The sequence below is a fragment of the Homo sapiens genome, chromosome 5 (genome assembly GCF_000001405.40).
Source record: "Homo sapiens chromosome 5, GRCh38.p14 Primary Assembly".
NCBI classification, from domain to species: domain Eukaryota; kingdom Metazoa; phylum Chordata; class Mammalia; order Primates; family Hominidae; genus Homo; species Homo sapiens.
Window position 1 is genome coordinate 143,385,065 of NC_000005.10, and position 19,517 is coordinate 143,404,581.

Consider the following 19,517-nt stretch of genomic DNA (forward strand, 5'->3'; position numbering starts at 1 on the left):
TGAAGGCTGCCAAGGTTTGAGGCTTACCCCCTCTGAAGCAACAGCCCAAGATTATCTCCTGGCCCCTTTTAGCCACAGCTGGAGCTAGAGCAGCTGGGATGCAGGGCACCATGTCCTGAGGCTGCAGAGAGCAGCGCAACCCTGGGCCTGGCCCACGAAACCATTTTTTCCTCCTAGACCTCCAGGCCTGTGATAGGAAGGGCTGCCATGAAGGTCTCTGACATGCCCTGGAAACATTTTCCCTATTCTACTGGCTATTAACATTAGGCTACTCTTCATCTATGCATATTTCTGCAGCTCACTTGAATTGCTCCCCAGAAAATAGGTTTTTCTTTTCTACCACAAGGTCAGGCTGCAAATTTTCCAAACTTTTATGCTCTGCTTCTCTTTTAAACCTAAGTTCCAACTTCAGACCATCTCTTTGTGAACACATATGACTGTATGTTGTTAGGAGCAGCCAGGCCACATATTGAATGCTTTGCTACTTAGAAATTTCTTCTGCCACGAACTCTAAATCATCTCTCTCAAGTTCAAAGATCCACAGATCTCTAGGGCAGGGGCAAAATGCTGTCAGTCTATTTGCTAAAGCAAAGCAAAAGTGAACTTTGCTCCAGTTCCCAATAAGTGCCTCATCTCCACCTGAGACCACCTCAGCCTGGACTTTATTGTCCATATAACTATCAGCATTTTGGTCAAAACCATTCAACATGTCTCTAGGAAGTTCCAAACATTCCCTCATCTTCCTGTCTTCTTCTGAGTCCTCCAAACTGTTGCAACCTCTGCCCATTATCCAGTTACAAAGTTGCTTCCGCATTTTCATGTATCTTTATAGCAATGCCCCACTGTCCTGGTACCAAGTTTCTGTACTAGTCCATTTTCACAGTGCTATAAAGAACTAACTGAGACTGGGTAACTTACAAAGAAAAGAGGTTCAACTGACTCATAGTTCCACAGGCTTAACAGGAAGCATTACTGGGAGGCCTCAGGAAACTTACACTCACAGTGGAAGGCAAAGAAACCATGTTTTCACATGGCAGAGCAGGAGAGACAGTGAGTGAAGAGGGAAGTGCCATACATTTTCAAGCAACCAGATCTCATGAGAACTCACTATCATGAGAACAGCAGAGGAGAAGTCTGCCTCCAGGATTCAATCACCTTTCACCAGGCCCCTCCCCTGATATGTGAGGATTATAATTCAAGATGAGATTTGGGTGGGGATACAGAGCCAAACCATAGCATTTATATTTAGAAAAAAAGTTGCTATTTGTAAAGGGTACATAGAAAAGGGTGTTTATTAGAAACTTGCTTGTAGTGGCAAAAATCACGAAACCACATGAATAGAATATTGTCTATTTAAAAGAATGGGATCCGCATCTGTTAACCTGGAAGGATGTTCAGGGTGTACTTGTTAGGTGAGAAAAGCAAGCTGCAGACAAAGGGGTATAAGATAATCCCATTCTTTTATTTAAAGGCAAGCAACCCAGAAAATCTCATATGTGTCTGTTTATGCTTATGTAATTACAGAGAAATGTGGAGGATAAGGGGAGATGTGCAGGAAGAAAGAGGAAAGAAAGAAATAGGAAAGGAGACGTGATGGAAATAAGCTTATTAACATTTTGGGGTATAATTTTACTGATGGAATGAACACACTATTTCTGTAAATTCTGAAGGGGCATTTGCAAAAAGAAGAACAAATTTTAAAAGGAGTCAATTATAAGACTATCCCTATAATGCTCACTTACACTCAGATATGCTTTCTTGGATAACAGACTGTGTATAACCCAAATCCTCCAAAGGTTATGGAGAGTTCATGTGGCTACCCACCATCTATCATCGTGCATATGGGCTGTGGTACAAAGAAGGAGAACCACTATGCTATGAGCAACAAAACCACAGACATTTTTTGATCAGGGGAATAATACTGAAAGTGGTGTTCTAGGAAGATTAATCTGGCAGTAGACTGCAGAATGAATTAAGAAGGGAGAGGAGAAAACTAGAGAAACAATTAGGAGACTATTGATAAGAGTAATAAGAGTTTGAACTAGGGTGTGGCCAGTTTTTTCCTGTTGTGTTGGCTTCTCAGGGAACAGAAACTTAATTCCCTTCTGGCTTCCAGCCTTTCTACCTTACTCTTAACTGAATCTCAGGGTCTTTGTGGTCTCAGAAGTATGTTTCTTATTATCTGCTTTAATTACATCTAAATTTCAAATTTAAGTCTCCTTTTTAAAAAAATTATAAACGAAATCACTAGTTATATTGTGCCATTTAAGATTTCCCTAATTTATCTGGCTTTGATTTTTGGGAATGTTCCCATGTTTTAAAGACTGGTTTCAAGAACAATAATCACTCATATATTTATGTTATTCTATTCTGTCTCTTCTATGCTAGTTAATGTGACAACTACCCTCTCCCTGCCACATTTTAAGATTGTTGTCTCCTAATTCTTCAGCTATTCATTTATTTTGTGGCTGCTCTCTTTGGTTGCCTTCTAGAGCCCTGTCCTTGTCCCTCCCCTCTTTTTTCCTGAACATTAGAGCAGTTCATTCTTAAATGACCTCATCTGATTTTCTTGCTATGGCTAACACCTACTTAACTTGCATTTTCTCTTTTCTGCGACTGTCATTGCCATATTAGGTTGAACTCTCCTATAACTCTTAGTAGAAGAGATGAACTTATCCTACCAACCTCCTGACTGTTATATACTATAGACAGAATAAGTCAAATCTAAAATATAAATAAGCTGAAGAAAGATATTTTGAAAATTCAGGCAAAAATAAAACACCCCTCCTCTCTTAAGGTACTCAGTGATTACACACACACTTATCTGAAAAATGAGGAAACCGATTTCTTGCCTGACCTTCTAGGTAAGTCAGTACAAACATATACATTAGACTCATCTGCTTAAATAATCTCAATTCTTATAAAAGTGAAAAGCATAAAGCTTCTGCTACAAAAGTTCCTATATTGACAATTTACTATGTTACTGCCTTGAGCAAGCTTTTAACAAACCACCAAAGGAAAAAACCCTCTAACCCTTCATTTACAAACATTGGCTACTCTAATTTTTCAATGGTAAACAGACCAGAGTTATTCTAAGAAATTATGAAAAGCAATCCATTTCGAAGTCTTAAAGCAAATTTAGAGACTGTCAATTGAAAATACATCTTCTTTATGTATACTCTCTGTATTCATATACACCTGTCAGTCTTAAGGCTTATTTCTATCTGGGGAAGATAACCTGGGCTATCATCTCTCTCTCAGTGATATTCACTATCTGCTGACATTTTCCTCACTCGAGAAAGATTAGAAATATAATCCATTCCTATATATCTTTTTGGTTTATATGTTAAATTTTGTTTATTTAGGTATTCAACATGTATTTGTAGAGGTCTTACTATGTGCTAGACACTATTCTAGACGCTGGCATACAGGAGTAAGCAAGGCAGACAGTATCACTGCTCTCATGGAGCTTACATTGTAGCAGGTGAGCAGATAAGACACAAATAGATGATGTCAAGAAGAAGGAAAGACTGTGAAAGATTCTACTATTTCAGATAGAGCAGTCAGAGATCTCTTTTACAGAGCTGACATTTAAATGAGAGAGTAAACCATGTGGGTATCTGGGGAAAGAACATTTCAGGTAAATTTTCCTCAGATTTGGGCTTATACACTGGGGAGCCCAGAAAGAGGATTATTTCTCCTAGACAATAAGGATATTCTTAAGTGACTAGAAGAAAAAAATATCTTGCAACTAGGGTACACAAACTGAGGTTATGGTGAAAGTCATGTTTTCTCCTTGTCTTGTATCATGTGATATTTGATGACAACATGCATGCACATAATACTTTCATCCATTAGTTGCTGAAGTCTCCTGTTGGCTCATTCCTATGTACTCAGTCCTCATCTAGTCAACTAATTCTTTCCATCTTTTCTTTCATTTGTTTCAGACTCCTTGTTGCCCCTTTTCTTATTCCAAATAGTTGAATCAAATCTTGTTTCCCATTCATTCATGCACTTTCCTCCATGAAGTTTCAGTTATGTCTTCCCAGGAAGGAGTTTGAGATCTTTCAAGCTCACATTTCAAAAAGCAAACTGAGGGAGGGGGAGGCAGGGATGACTATCATCAGAGTGCTCTCCATGCTGCTGGGGATATTCATCTTCTTCATCTCCATATGCCCAGTGTCTAGCTTGATAAATGCTTGCTGCTGCCAAGTGCAATTAGAAGGACCTTGGAGATCATCTAGTTAACCTCCCACTCTACCTACCACCAGAATTCTTGGCCTAGAACATGTCTTTGTAGTTCTTTAGTTCTTCCACTTACGAACATAATAACGTAGCTAGGTTGCTTATTGATTTCCCAGTGTCCATAGAGAAACACTGAGGCATACAAAAATCAAATTTAGCCAGGCACCAGAATTGAAGTTTAGAATTTTCATTTTCTTTCTTAATAGTTTTATAACTTTTCCTTCTGGCTTCCTTATTTACTGTTTTCTTGTTTAAACATGTCTGTGGGACCCCCAAAGCACTGTACAGCTCTGTTAAATATCATTATCAATTAAAAGGTCACTCATCCCTAAAATACTGAATTAGAAATTACTTCACCAATTTGTCTTTCCTTTAAAAACATTTCTTGATTAAAAATGTAGTGCCCATCCACAGACTGCACTAACACCAGCCCATGATATGTGTTTAGTGATGAGAAGCATTTGCTACCTAATAGAAAATCTACCAGCCTCCCAGCTGACAGAACAAAGTAAGAGGTTCAAGGCAAATAAAGCAGTGCAGAGAAAACCTGTTAGCAGTAAAACATTACCTGCCATGCTAGGATGGCTCTTCCTTCCCATTTCTTAGCTCTGAAAACTTATAAATCATCTTTTGGGGAGAAAGAACAAATATCCAAGAAAACAGTTTGCTTTTAGTACAATTCTAAAAAATCTAAAGTTCTTAAGCAGGCTGTTGTCACAAAGAAATTCTAAGAACTTCGGCACTAACAGAATAGTTACAAAATGAATATCCTATTTTTGACACCACTACACATGTCTTCATCATTTCAAAGATTAGGATCCATTTTAACCTAGCATTTTTTGAACAGTAAACATGACTAAATTTAGCAAATAGTAGTAACAAAATTCATTTAGTTTTTAAAAGTACTATCAGTAATCGCAGAGGTTTTTTTCAGGTTGTGAGGAATAAAAGTCAAAAATATATTAATTTTATATTGTAGCTATAACTCAAACTATTTTATGAGTATAAATAACTTCAGTATACTTGAGTTGTTCTTGCTATACTGATAATCAGATACTTAATTCCCTGATACACTAAGGGAAATGTGTATGAATGAGAAATTAAACTGTTTGGGAGACTGTTGTAGGAATTCACATTATGTTTACTTTATATCTGCTATTGCCAAATTCAAGTCCAAGCCAAAAGCAGACCTACCTTACTTAAACATAAAATAAACACTTATTTAAAAAATCAGGCTTAGAGGTGAATAGTCTCTATTACTTCATTACTATGCCAAGAAGAGGGAATATATAAACTGTTATCATAAAGTTCCTTAATAACTTCAAGAAAACACAAATCAGAACTTAACCACTAAGCATCACCCATTTCAGAATAGTCACCCTGGGAAGCTATTCACTTATTCCAGGCATATTCAAAACAGAATTAAACATTTTCTGTAGAAATATCTATGTGGGCTCTTTTAAAAACCCTCAAAGAAAATAAATGTTATCATTCGAGAGAGGATTAAATTTCTAAATATCTGGCAATACTCATATGATTTGGAGTCACACAAATAAAGCTAAGGGATAAATACATTTTCTTTGAGCAAGAACAGTTAGGTGTTACTATAGTGCAATGAGTCCGATTTTCTTTTATGGCTTACAAGGTGGTTCTGAAGGCAGTTTCAAAGAGGAGCAATATACATAGCCTCCTAAGGTGGAAACTTAGAACATTTATTTTGGGTTTTCTGTTTTAAAAAAAAAACTCAATCTATTTTATAGCCATACACTTTGTCCTTAATAAACCCAGCTGAATTCCAGATGACAAATTTCACATAATGTTCTGATTAAAATTTTTTTAAGTTTCCATCTAAGAAAGCTGCCTACAAACTTAGGTTCTACATCGGTATGTTTACCAATTTAAACTGCCGTTTAATAATTCTATGCTTTCCTCTGCTTTTATAACTTTGGTTTAATAGATCAAATTTGTTTAACTGAAGTTTTTTTCAACCATTTGATCAATAAAGAAAACAAGTCAGTGCAGTCAAGTTTCACAATCCTCCCAACTTTATGCAGTTAGGATAAATTTTGGTATTCAATATACTCAAGAGCTTTTTCAGACAGCTTCAATAAATGTAATAAATGTAAAAAAATTTTAAACCTGAAAATTTCATTCCCATTTTCAGGCAAATTAAGGTTTCCAATGACAAAGAATCTTTGCATACTTGATTATATAAAAATATCAGAATAGGAAATACCAGAAAGAGAATACTCTAGCATTTATTAATAAAAATATAACAATGTGGTTGGAGTTATCACTATGGCTATTATGTAGATGGCATACTTAATATCCCTCAACAAAATCCACTGAAAACTTTGTCGAAGGCGCTTTCAAAAAATAATAAAACTGAAAAAAAAAATCATTGTGAAGATACTACGTTGGCATTTGAAGGCTTTAAAATACAGCAGTCTTTATGAAACTGCGATCCATGACCCTTCAGGGATTGCACATAGCAGACCCTAAAAGATTCTTGATTATAGGCAATACCTACACCACAGTCACAGATGTCATAACGTACTTAGCCAATGAGAGTCATGCTGGTTTAAGCTAAGTGGACTTGGCAGAGCTTTAAAAATTCCACCTTGCATTTTTATAATGCTTTTTAATTTTCTTTTCTTTTTTTTTTCTTTTTTTTGAGACGGAGACTCGCTCTGTCGCCCAGGCTGGAGTGCAGTGGTGCAACCTCGGCTCACTGCAAGCTCCGCCTCCCAGGTTCACACCATTCTCCTGCCTCAGGCTCCCGAGTAGCTGGGACTACAGGCACCAGCCACCATGCCCGGCTAATTTTCTGTATTTTTAGTAGAGACAGGGTTTCACCGTGTTAGCCAGGATGGTCTCAATCTCCTGACCTCATGATCTGCCCGCCTCGGCCTCCCAAAGTGCTGGGATTACAGGCGTGAGCCACCGCGCCTGGCCTAATGCTTTTTAATTTTCAAAGTAAACGTACATGCACAAATCCTGTCAGGTAAAAACCCTCTCACTATTTTACAGAAATTGAAACTGTGACAAAAAGCAGTAAGTGACTTTACAAATATATGCAGGAGAGCAGAGGCCTGATCCTTTATATTTTATTTAAAGATTCGCTGTTGACAAAAATTATTAAAGATACATGAGGAACTAACATACCCAATATTAAATATTTCCCTTCAGATAAGTGTTAAGGTTTCCTGGTTTTTTTTTTCTTTTTCTCTTTAAATGCCTTTAGTTTTCACATCTGTAAAATTAAGGTAAATAACAGCTGCCTTCTGTGCTTCATGGATATTGACAGAATTGAGACTTAATACAGTAACTAGAATAAAAACTTTCACAGAGTTGAGATTTAAATGAGATGAATGCATGCAAAGTGCTTAGCATAGTGCTGTCACATAATTGGTGCTTAATCATTATTAGGTAAAAAAAAATTAACAAAATGAATAGAGAAGAATACAGACACTGTATATTTTAAAAATCTAAATGAGTCAAAAGTAACTCTTATAAAATATGTGGCTAGTCTGTATTATGTCAATCAACTATTTGTTCCAGATGTCTAGAAGAGACCCAGATAATTAAAGAAGCCTACCAGGGAACTTAGATAACTAAGAATTGAGATATTCAAACTGGCAACACCGCTCATTAAGTGTTTTGTGATCTTTACCTCAACACTTTCTATGGATCTCAATTTCTCATTCGAAAAAATTAGGGGGTAGAATTAGGGAAACTCTCAAGTTCTTTTAAGTTCTAATCTAAAATAACTGTAACGAACATAGAAAACAAGCTCTGAGAACCCAAGAGCCCCACCTCTCGGGTGCTAACAGCAGCAATAGTTTATTTTTATATATCACCAACTACATTATTTTAAATCCTTATCTTATAAAAACACCAAATCTGCATTCACATCTATTTGTCTTACATTCGATAATCTATAAAGAAAATGTCAAAGAACCAACTTTGTTATACCATTCCCTACCCTAATTACTTCCCTCATCAAATTGACGGGTTAAAAGGATTGTGGAATTTTAGAAACACACACACAGGTGTTTTGAAAACAATTCAAACACAGTTGTAAAGAAAGTATTTTTGACTCCAAAGTACCTAGTTGGAGGCCATGGACTGTCTCCCTTAGCATTAGAAACTAGGTCTTTGGACTTTTAGTTGAGTATTTTTCTTCTGTTTCTACTACTGAATATCTAAATCAAATTCTTTGGAAGGGATGGTTAAAAAAATAAAAAAGCAAAATCTGCAATTTAAATAGTCTTAAAATTAAGGAAGCTCTTATCCTCAATAATTATAAAAGAAAACATTAAAACGATAACATAAAGTAAAACAGTGTCCATAACAAACTGGTAGAGCTTTAGTGTTCAGCATGTGACAATCATAAGGTCATAAGTCACAGCACTGCCCCAACCAGCATGAAATAATAAATCATGTAGTGAATTGTATCATTTCATAATAGCTTTCAAAATTTGGCTATCAAATATACTTTCATAATAGCCACAGCTAAATATTATGGACAGTTATGAAATCAACTAGAATAAAGGCTAATTTTATTGTAAAAAGAAATAGTAAGTTAACACTTTTTGCAACAAACTATGTCTTAAACACTGCATACTTATTGAACTCTCAAATTATTAGTTACAAAAATAAAAATTCAAGGTAAGATAATGCGTAAACATTTACAACTAATCATATCATTAAAACTTTTTTCCCCTTATATATATTTTTGGTGCCCTACAGTGAGAATGAAAAAAAAATTATAAAACAACAGGTACTTTCACTGAACTTGCTGCATTATAGACAGGATTAATGTTGTTGAAACTTGCTAAAAAGAAAAAATATTTAAAAGCACTCGAAATTAATACTTGGGTTACTCTGAAAAAGCATGTTTAAGCATGCAGCTCTATTGGGATGTAATTAATATTTAAATTGGACAAGTGATAAAATTCGGGGATAACACACTTTCATTCAAAATACTGAATTTAAGGAATGTATTGCAATATAAATGGTTTAAGTGACTGTCTAGCACTTGCAGAACCCCATAATTTATTCTGCATATTATGAAAAATTAATTTTCTCAATATTCCAGCAGAAAAATACATAACCCATAGAAATATATTACCAAAGAAAAGGGTTGCTCTCCAGTCAGTTGACAATGGCTGTAAAAGGGCACTATGATATATGAAATGATTATATCAACATTAAGACATTAGGTCGACTACATTCAAGTCATTAGATTTTCATTTATTAAACAGCAGCTTAAATAAAAATGAGAAAAATATGAACTTAATCTTAGCTAAAATAATCTTCAAGTAAAATGTGCATTTTATCCTTTTTTGATAATAAAGCATAGTAAGAAACAACATAACTCAAAAATTAGTATTATATAGCCATGGTCAGTTTTAGATTTCTACCTGAAATAAAAGAAATTAAATTGTAATTCTGATTGATGCATTCCCTTGTACCTATAGTCCTAAATTTTTCTTTTCTTAAACCTCTAATTCATGACAGTTGATCCAAACTGTTAGTTTTCAGAACTGATCTGGATATTCCTAAACTTATCTATAGCATCCCACATCTCTGTTGCTCCTCCCTCTTCACCCTCCACCCCCAATTAATTCATGAACTCCACTGGAAATTCTGTATTTAGAGACATTTACAACAGTATTGAGCACTAAGGAAAGCAACCTGTCACAATTAGGTGTCTGGGGGTTAAAACCACTGTCTACAAATAATTTTGAACTGCAATAAAATTCTATTTCTTTCTTAATATGTAAAATGAACAAAAATCACCATCACAAGTCACACCCTAATCTAGTTTAGCATAGAAATGATCACACATAATTCAACAGGGAAAGGAACACTTAGTAGACCTTTTCTTTTTTAAAATTGAAATTCTCAATAGGAATATTTTATTTACTTGAAAAATACAAAACCCAAGTATTAATAGAATATGCCAGAAGAAAATAAGAGCAGTCGGCTCTCTGAAGCTGCAGAAATAAGGACAGCATGGGCTTTTAAAAATCCTTTCTAAAGGTCAATATGTAATGGATTTTTTTTTGTAGTTATAGCTTAATTCAACAAAATTTTCTTGAAAACTCTTTATGCAACAGGAATCATCAATGTATATTTTCCATGACTCAGAAATATGAAAACAAGTGCCCATTAATCTGGCAAATACCTGTAAATATTGCATTACACAATTACTCTTGATGAAAATATTACCAGGATGTCCTCAGAAGGGTAAATGCTATTCAGCACAAACCTATTTTGCTTATTTAATTTGCCCACCTAAGTACTAGTACACAATGAGAACCCACTGCTCATTAAAATTAGGAATAATCATTAAAGTAAAAAAGAATGTGCTTTAAGAACTAAGCCTAAGCCTCAGACCTTGTCTAAGCTTAATGTAAATTAAGATTTCCTGGGCTGTTTCAGTCACCTGCAGGCCAGAGTAGACTAAGATTTATGTAACTAACCAATTAATGCAGATGTTCCGACTTTCACATTAGGCAGTCACATTAAAGTAAACCCTTTTGATCCAATCTTTCCTTCACTAAATCTCAAAAGGCCCCTAAAGTGATCTCTACCCACATATCCATTTCACTATTAATACAATTTGCATTTAACCTACATTTATGCAAGGTATATTTCAGAATAAGTCTTTCATAAAATGTATAAACATTAAATAAGTAGCAAAAGTGGTCAGACTAAAATACATGTAACACAAATAGACAAGACCAAAATAACATATGAATTATGTTACCAATTATAAAAATACAAGGGGACTAGCCATAGAAACATCGTAAGTAATTTCAATAAAATCTGACCACATGCTAGTCACATATTTCTGCATTAGTCATTTCACACTAAAATGACACACCTGAATACACAGTGTGTTTTAAAAACTTTTTTTACTAATCATGTAGCCATAACAAGTTACAGATTTAAAAAATAAGATTCTCATCATAAAGCTAAAAATAAGTGAAAATATATTTAAAAAGAAATCTCCTTTAACATTCAGAAATCACTTTACATAAATGAGTACCAGAAATATTAAGCTTAAAAAACACTGAAACACCCATTGCCAGAATCTTTAGAAGGAAAAGAAAAAGAAAAAAGGTAGGAAGTAAAGAAAGTATCCATGGGGGTGAGGGTAAATCACAGTCAAAACAAATCTCTTCTCTTCGTATTTCCTCTTTTTCTGAGAAAACATTCAACATGATGTTAGCAGAATTTGCTTCATTCATTCTGTATTTGTACAGGTCTTCAATTTCATTACTTTTATAAAACCAGATACAGATGCGATTACTAATGAGACATTAAAATCTACATAAATTTTAGTAGCTTCATTAAGTGCCAATCATCACTTAATTTTAGACTCTGCCGAAAACTGAATTTACAAGTTCATCCTACATCATTCATTCTCTCCAATAATCCCTCCCTTCAGGATACGAACAATTTTTTAACACTAAAATTTCAACATAATCCCAATAAAAGCTCTAATACCACCTAAAACCATTTCTGTTCTCTACCTCTGTCATTAATGCTTAAATGAAACAAGGCTGAAAATCAAATAATGCAGAAATGTGCCTTCGTCAATAAGTTTATGCTAAATGTACTGAACTTCAGTATTTTTAAAAGCATATTAAGTTAGAATGACTAGTTTGTTTTACTTAAAGAATAGATTTTGAGAATAAGGTTTCTCTTGTTTTACTATAAATGAACTTAGAAAATGCTTTACTAAGCTCAATCATAATATTCATAATTTTACAATTTTATGTGATAATTCAATGTTGTGGTGGAAGGAAGGAATTGCCTCTTCCCACCCCCAGAGAATAAAGTGAGGATTTTTTTTTAAGTATTCTGATAAAAACAATTTTAGGTGGCATTTTAAAAAGTCAAATTGCAATTTATAACTTTTTTTAATTTAAAAGGAATTCAAGTTATTAGTGGCATTTAATATTTTTCTTCGTAAAGTCAGAAGGTCAGTATTCAAGTTGTGGTCTCAATGTGTTGATTATTTGCTGATCACTCAGGGTCACTGGTCATAGCAAATGTTTGGCTACAGTCATGTAACATATAGAGAAGAGAAAGCAACTAATTTTAGCTATATCAGGGCTGTTGTTTGGAAACAATAGACTAATTCAATGATGGTTTAAAAGAAACACTGTTTCAATTTATTTGGATGAAGCTTTGTTTTGGGTAATCATAGTTCCCAGTGCTAAGTTAATGCCATAAGGTATAAAATCTTCAAATATTAACAAAATACCCTGTATAAAGTATTATACCTTCTTGTTAGGACACAGACTACTGATTATATTTCCCAATCACAGATTGGCATAAAAATAATAATTTCATTTGATATTAAAGAACTTCTAAAGAGCCGCATCATCATTGCCTTGCCTACTACCTCCATAAGGTTATGGGACCCAAATTAAAAATACGTAAAGATACTTTATGTCATGAAGTACTATAAAAGTTAAAGCATTAAAATCACCTTTAGTGATTTAAGAGTAACTATGTTCATCTACTTATACTCTATATCCCAGATTTTATAGGGTTTAAAAGTTCATAGCAAATGGAAAATAAGTTTTGTCCCTTGCCTTTTCTTTATAGTAAGGAAAATGAAAACCATGCCATGATGATTATCAGGGCAAAATCCATTAATAATCCCCAAGAGTTTCCTAAGATGTTTTATTTTTCTTTGTATAATTACATGTTTTATAAATCAATTTAAGAGTTTCCTACAGATAGCTTAGTCAAATCAACCGTACTTAACTCTTTTAAGAAAACCAAGTATGCGAATTCTATTGCCAAAAATTTGCAATTGAAAATTTTAAAACACAGCATGTCTTTTAGCATTTAAAACACAACAGCTTATGCAATAATAAAGATCTCAAATCTCCTTACTGAAAAGATTTTAAACCTTCAACTCAGGTTGAAGTAGTGTTCTTCTAAATAAAGGATAATTATTTAAACAATAGATTAGGAGGTAGTTCACATTAAGACATGTAAGAACCAAGGTTTTTTGGTTTTTTTTTTTTTTTTTTTGACAACTAAGCCTTTTAGAAGAACAGAACATAGCCTAAATCTAATTCTAAATTATTTCCCTAACAAGAAAAGCTTCTTAAGTACAGAGGAAAGAAAAGAGACATCCTCCAGGTTAGGATAGCTTTCACAGAAAAAGGATTTTCAAAAATCTGAATAACTAGTTAATGGGAACGATGAATATCACTAACATTTAAGAAAAAACTTCAATAGTTACATACAAATAAATCACTGTCTACCATGTCTTCTTTTAAAAAAACCCGCTGATTAATCAATCTTGTGTCACTACAATCCACATTTTTATATTTTCCTTCACAACTAAAATGGATATAAAACCTAGCATTTATCTGAATTGGGGATGAGGTTACGGGGTAGAGAAATTCACCCCTACCAACACGTATATCTACATTTAGAACTTTTTTCTGATAATTCCATTTTCTGACCTTTTTGGGTCAGACAAAAATATCAGTATGCTTATAAACGACTGAGTAAAAAAAAGAGAAAAATCAAACGAAAGCTGAAAATTGAAGCTTAACAATTTTGGCCATCAGTTATCTACTTGAGAACTTGCAGGAACATTTGAACGTAAAATTTTGTTTTGCACCATGTTGACACCAATTCCTCTCTTAAAGAGATTGATCAGCAGACATAACTTGTCTACTTTATGGCAAGAACCCTGTGAGCAAGACCTGTGTCTAATACTATGGTCTGGTACACTGTTCACTGCATTGCTTTAGCAACTTCAAAACTCAAATTCTTTAACAGAAGATTCAGTTTGAAGAATAGGGCTCTTTGTTAGTACTTCTGCTTTTAACTCTTTAATCTCAAGCTAACACTTAACGAATTTACAAATAAGGCAGCACAACTTTTGACTATGTAAGTAAGGGTATCATTTATTGTAATATAAGAACATATTCTAAAACAGCTGAATGACCATGCACAACACAATATGATATTATGAGACATTATACTCTCCTGAATTTATATAATTTTTCGTTAAGATATCTGTTAATGAGCAACATTATTTTAAAAATGTTAAATAAAATCCTCACCGTTGGCCAATGGGATACTGAAAACCACTATTTAAGGAAAAAACCTGAAATGGTTACGTACAGATGTCACTTAGGTTGTCTACCTTTCCTACTTTCAAAAGGCCACTTAAACTTATTCATATAAAAAAGCACATGAATCTTTAGAGAACACATATAAATCAATGAAGATTTACATCTATTAATCTACCTTAAATGTACCATTCTTAAGAAACAGAAAAACACTGATCTTACCTTGAATAGCCATTAGAAAAAACTGTTCGACCAGGGAAGTTCAGAGTCCCCAGAGAAGTCAAGTTGTCATCTCCAGATCCTTGGCACCTATTCCAATTTTCGGAACCAACGGGAATTGGTGGAATGACATTAAAAATAGGCTTCTGATCCTGCTGTTGAGAAAGGGATGCTGTATTCATGTCATAGTGGTACATCTGTCCTCCAGAGGTACTCACACCATGAACAGAAATGGCAGACATTTTATTACCAATTATATTTGCTCCAGGAAAGCTTGCCTGACAGTAAACTGTGCCCAGTTTCTCTTGCTTAATTACCCCAGGGGTGCAGAGTTCGATGAAATCTTCTTTTTCTGTTTTCACTTGGGGCAGTGTTACATTACTGGGGCTTGACAAAACCAGATCTCCATTATCCTTAATTTTGGGTTTAGTGTCCGGTAAAATGAGAGGCTTGCAGTCCTCATTCGAGTTTCCTTCCAAAAGGAATGAATCGTCTTCTCCCGCCAGAGGAGAAAGCAAACAGTTTTCATCTATCAACAGGTCTGATCTCCAAGGACTCTCATTCGTCTCTTTACCTGGGGACCCAGAAGAAAACTCCAAATCCTGCAAAATGTCAAAGGTGCTTTGGTCTGTGGTATACAATTTCACATTGCCACCGTTGGTGCCAGTCTGGCCCTTCAAATGTTGCTGTTCTGAAGATACATCAGAGTGAGTTTTTGGAAACTCCTTCTCTGTGGGGGCAGCAGACACAGCAGTGGATGCTGAACTCTTGGGGTTCTCTGGAACACTGGTCGACCTATTGAGGTTTGCAATGCTTTCTTCCAAAAGCTTTAAGTCTGTTTCCCCCGAGGAAAGGCTGATTTGGCCCTGCTGTGGGAATCCCAGGTCATTTCCCATCACTTTTGTTTCTGTCTCTCCCATATACAGTCCCATTGAGAGTGAAACTGCTTTGGACAGATCTGGCTGCTGCGCATTGCTTACTGAGCCTTTTGGAAAATCAACCAAAAGTCTTCGCTGCTTGGAGTCTGATTGAGAAGCGACAGCCAGTGAGGGTGAAGACGCAGAAACCTTCACAGTAGCTCCTCCTCTTAGGGTTTTATAGAAGTCCATCACATCTCCCCTCTCCTGAGCAAGCACACTGCTGGGGTTTTCTTCTCTACCAGGAGTTAATGATTCTTTGGAGTCCATCAGTGAATATCAACTACAAAACAAAAAACAAAAACGGGGGGAAAACATCATAAGCTCTAAAGTCACATTATCTTCCTGATCCGATTAGTAAGAGGCAGCTTGTTAAATGAACCTTTTAGTTAACTCCGAATCAAATTCTTTGTTACCAGAAGAGTAGTTTCTATCTTCCAGAATAAAAAGCCATGTCCCCTGCTCCCATTCAGCATGCCACATTTAAAAGTACAATGCAATCCATTTGCACAGCTGAGGGCAAAAGTGTATCGAACTAAGCTTGGCTATTCATCCTGCCGCTCACTGAACGTGTAGCTTTGTTAATCACAGACATTATAATTCATTACATCTGATTATTCTGAAGGTTCAAGTTGATGTCAAAGTATTTAATTTCAAAAAAAGGAAGTGTGATCATTAAAATTCCTACCTCTTTTCAATCACGGCTGTTTGCTTTTCTGAGAACCAATACATATAACATTTGATAAATACTATGCTAGAATTCTCAATCCCTAATTACTTCCAAATTTCCCTCCTACCAGCTAGTCACACATCCAAACCTTTGAGTACAACCAACTGGTGAACCATGCACGTTTTCTTTGAAAAATAAACAATGCTGATCTGCTTATCTTCCGACAGGCTGGGAAAAGGCTTTTTAACCCATACTTCTGACTGGATGTGCCTACCTCCAAATTTTGGATATATGAAATGAGATACACTTTATATAGGCCAACTAAAATTTAGATTTTAAAGAGCAGAAGAGAAGGTGTAGTAGTTTCTCACTACGTTGTTAGCTTACATAACTTAAATATAGCTGACCCTTATCATAACTCACAAAAACATCTAGATTAAGCTACATTTGTTTACATTGCTTGAGATCCTCAATATGAAATGCTATTACATCTCTAAGTTCTTTCCTTTCCAAACAAATATCGAAGTACTGAAAAATGGAAAAACACAGAACCGTAAAATCACATTCATATAAATTCAGGTACAACTGTATCCAGTAAAATGTTCAAAATAATTTTCTCTGCCTTCACCTATCCAAACCTTCACCTATCCCAATTCTCAGCCTATTCTCAAGAGAGTAAGACTGTTAGTATATCGTTAATCAGGGTGTTTTAAGAGATGGGCTAAGACGGAGAAGCGCATTTGGGACACTATAGTCAAATCCCGTCCAATAAAAGGTAACTTTTCCTATGCGATGACGTTAGGCAGCATAAATGTCACTGGCCCTCACTGAAAAGTGAATATGAAGGTAGAGAGAGGGGTGTGGACTTGCCACTACAAATCTTGAGGGTAAACTGCTTATCTCCCCACCTCTCTGCCCCGTTTATCTGAGGCGATAACGATCTCTAAACACGAGGTATCGAATGGAGCCCAATGAATTTCCATGCCGCTTTTTTGACAGCTGCCTTCAAACCCGAAACCAAAACAATATTTCCTAAAACGAAAACGCTCCCTCAAGCGACATTATCCCCCAGTTTAAGTTGCAAATAACCCAGCCACATTAATTGGCCCTAATGAACCATGCCAGAGGGTCTTAAGTGGTATTACAAGGTTGCAATTATCAAGTCTGCAACCCCAAACGTCAAACTAGCACTTGTAAAAATCGCAGCACAAAACCATTACGGTTACAGGGGGTCTTTTTCTAAAAGGGGCCACTTAGAAACCTCAGGCGCGAATTAACAACAAACGCTAAAGAGCAAGCCCTTGCGGGGCGGGGGTGGAGAAGAGAAAAAAGTGCGAGGTTAAAAGAGAAGTACGTCCAGACCTGTTGAGTTCTCTCTCCGACACGCCCACTTCTAACAGATAACGCCGGCCCCGGCCGCAGTCTCCAAGTTGCGGGCTGTCAGCCCCCCGCGTGTGCACCCTCACGCGCCCCGCACGCCCTCCTCAAGCCAGGCGCCGCCGGGGCCTCCCCGGAGCCCGGGCTCGCGCTCGGGCGCGCCGGGGTGGCGTGCAAATATTCGGGCGAGTAAAATTCAGACGCGGCTTAGCGTTCACCACGAAAACGGGTGTCGGGCGACCCCCTTGGAGGGAAAGGGGACACTAGGGGGAGAAAAGAGGCCAGGATTCCCGCGAGGAATGAGAGGCTCGAAGCCCCCGGCAGTTCGACAGGGCTCCGCTCGCCGTCCGAGGTCAGGTTCCTCCCCCTCGGCCCGGCCAGGGGACGCCTGCGGAGGGAGAGGAAGAGGCCAGCGCTGTCACCCGCGCGCTGCCCTTTCGTCACCGTCGCCCGGCCCTTGCCAGCCCCCCACCCCCACTCCCCGAGGCTAATAAAAGTTTGTAGGCTCCCGCGGCGGCCCCCGAGTTGTCTCCGGTCCCAGCGGCACCTCGGGGGAGCGAGCGCGCCCCGGCCCCCTCCCGCCTCGCTTCTTACCTCTGGCAGAGGAGCCGCTCGCCCGCCACCGTCCGCAGTTCCCGCCGCAGCCGAGATAAACAACTTAGCTTGTGAACGCAGAAGGAGCAGGAGGGAAATATATTTTTTTTTTCTAAAAAAAGGAAGTAAACAGCCGCCCCTTTCTCCATGGGTGGGGGGAGAGCCCCTATTTAAGAAAGTCTCCCATTGCCCAGCTGACAAGCCAGCCCTCCGCCCCGCGCCGGGCTCCGCGGGTCGAGGTTCCGGGCGCGCGTGCCCCGTCCCGGTCCCAGCTGCTTCGGCCGCTCCGGCTGCGGCGTCTCCTTCCACCCACAGAATCCGTCCCCGACGGGCAGGCGGTGACTCGGGCTCCCGTCACAGACACGAGCTCGCAAAATGGAGGAGGCGGCGGCGGAGGGAAGAGAGCGCGGACACGCGAAAGGGCAGCCCGGCCTGGGCGAGCGAGCGGGACCGAGCGGGGAGCGGGTGGAGGCGGCGCCACGGCGCGCACACACTCGCACACACGCGCTCCCACTCCACCCCCGGCCGCTCCCCGCCCGAGGGGCCGCGCGGCGGCCGCGGGGAACGATGCAACCTGTTGGTGACGCTTGGCAACTGCAGGGGCGCCCGCGGTCCCTGCCCCCACGCCCTCCGCGCGGGCCCCGCCACCCCGGCCCCGACGGCGCCTGCACGCCCGCGTCCCCTGGCGTGGCCGCCCCGCCCGGTGCGCCGCGCTTCGCCCCCCGCCCCCAACTCCCCAGGAAAAAGGGTGGCGGCGGCAGCGGCGGGGGCCGACCTGGTCTCTCTGGGGCGGCGTTAAGAGGGCCACCGAGTTTCTCCAGTTTCTTTTCTCGCTACCTCCTTCCCGCCCCCGCCCAGCTCCGCGGCTCCAGACCCACTCGGGAGCTCGCTCTGCCCCTTGGCGGCAAGCGCCGCCAGTGCCCCTGCGGGTGACAGCGGGCGGGCCACAAGAGCCGGGGCGCCTCCCGCGGCTGAGCTGCGTGAGTGGCCCGCGCCGCCGCCGCCGGGCCGAGTTGCGTGAAGTGTGTCACTTCGAAAGGGGCTACGGGGTTGCACGGAAACGGTGCCGCAGCGTCTCGGCCGCGCTCGGGGCCGGGCGGCCTGACACGCCCTCTGGGGAGGCTTCAGGGAAGGGACGGGATAGCGGGGGTCGGCGCATACGTACTTTGGGCCCGGGGGGAGTCGCGTGCCGGCAGGTCCCCCACCACCGCATCATCTGGGCGGCCGGGTCTTCAGCTGCCGCCGCCGCGCTCTCGCACTGGGAGAGAAGTTGCAAAGCAGAACCCACCCTCCCCCGCGCCCCGACCGTCCCCCACCCTCTTCCCCGAGTCTGCGAGGCGGCGGCGGCGGCAGAAGGAGGCGCCGCCTGCC

General features: G+C 39.0%; 1 protein-coding gene across 22 annotated transcripts in view, besides 5 other annotated features; it reads right to left on the reverse strand.

Annotated features, from left to right (window-relative positions):
• Nucleotides 1-19,517, reverse strand: part of NR3C1 (nuclear receptor subfamily 3 group C member 1) — a 157,582-nt gene that overhangs the window by 107,134 nt on the left and 30,931 nt on the right. For 11 of the 22 annotated variants that reach the window (NM_001020825.2, NM_000176.3, NM_001204258.2 and 8 more), the window contains exons 1-2: nucleotides 18,147-18,622; nucleotides 14,592-15,788 (exon numbers count right to left, since the gene is read on the reverse strand). In NM_001020825.2, the coding sequence (NP_001018661.1) occupies nucleotides 14,592-15,775 (1,184 nt within the window). In that variant the 5' untranslated portion in view covers nucleotides 15,776-15,788; nucleotides 18,147-18,622. Of the gene's footprint in view, nucleotides 1-14,591; nucleotides 15,789-17,537; nucleotides 18,623-18,921; nucleotides 19,173-19,311; nucleotides 19,419-19,517 lie in introns of those variants that run through there. The other 11 variants (NM_001018075.1, NM_001018074.1, NM_001018077.1 and 8 more) reach the window with 5 other exon arrangements.
• Nucleotides 13,971-14,040: a silencer, noted in NCBI's record as "silent region_16480". NCBI's record gives its function as "represses an Ori minimal core promoter by ATAC-STARR-seq in GM12878 lymphoblastoid cells {active_cell/tissue: GM12878}" and the evidence as "EXISTENCE:reporter gene assay evidence [ECO:0000049][PMID:35858748]".
• Nucleotides 15,479-15,598: an enhancer, noted in NCBI's record as "active region_23342". NCBI's record gives its function as "activates an Ori minimal core promoter by ATAC-STARR-seq in GM12878 lymphoblastoid cells {active_cell/tissue: GM12878}" and the evidence as "EXISTENCE:reporter gene assay evidence [ECO:0000049][PMID:35858748]".
• Nucleotides 17,618-17,717: a silencer, noted in NCBI's record as "silent region_16481". NCBI's record gives its function as "represses an Ori minimal core promoter by ATAC-STARR-seq in GM12878 lymphoblastoid cells {active_cell/tissue: GM12878}" and the evidence as "EXISTENCE:reporter gene assay evidence [ECO:0000049][PMID:35858748]".
• Nucleotides 17,928-18,007: a silencer, noted in NCBI's record as "silent region_16482". NCBI's record gives its function as "represses an Ori minimal core promoter by ATAC-STARR-seq in GM12878 lymphoblastoid cells {active_cell/tissue: GM12878}" and the evidence as "EXISTENCE:reporter gene assay evidence [ECO:0000049][PMID:35858748]".
• Nucleotides 18,248-19,517: a silencer, noted in NCBI's record as "silent region_16483". NCBI's record gives its function as "represses an Ori minimal core promoter by ATAC-STARR-seq in GM12878 lymphoblastoid cells {active_cell/tissue: GM12878}" and the evidence as "EXISTENCE:reporter gene assay evidence [ECO:0000049][PMID:35858748]".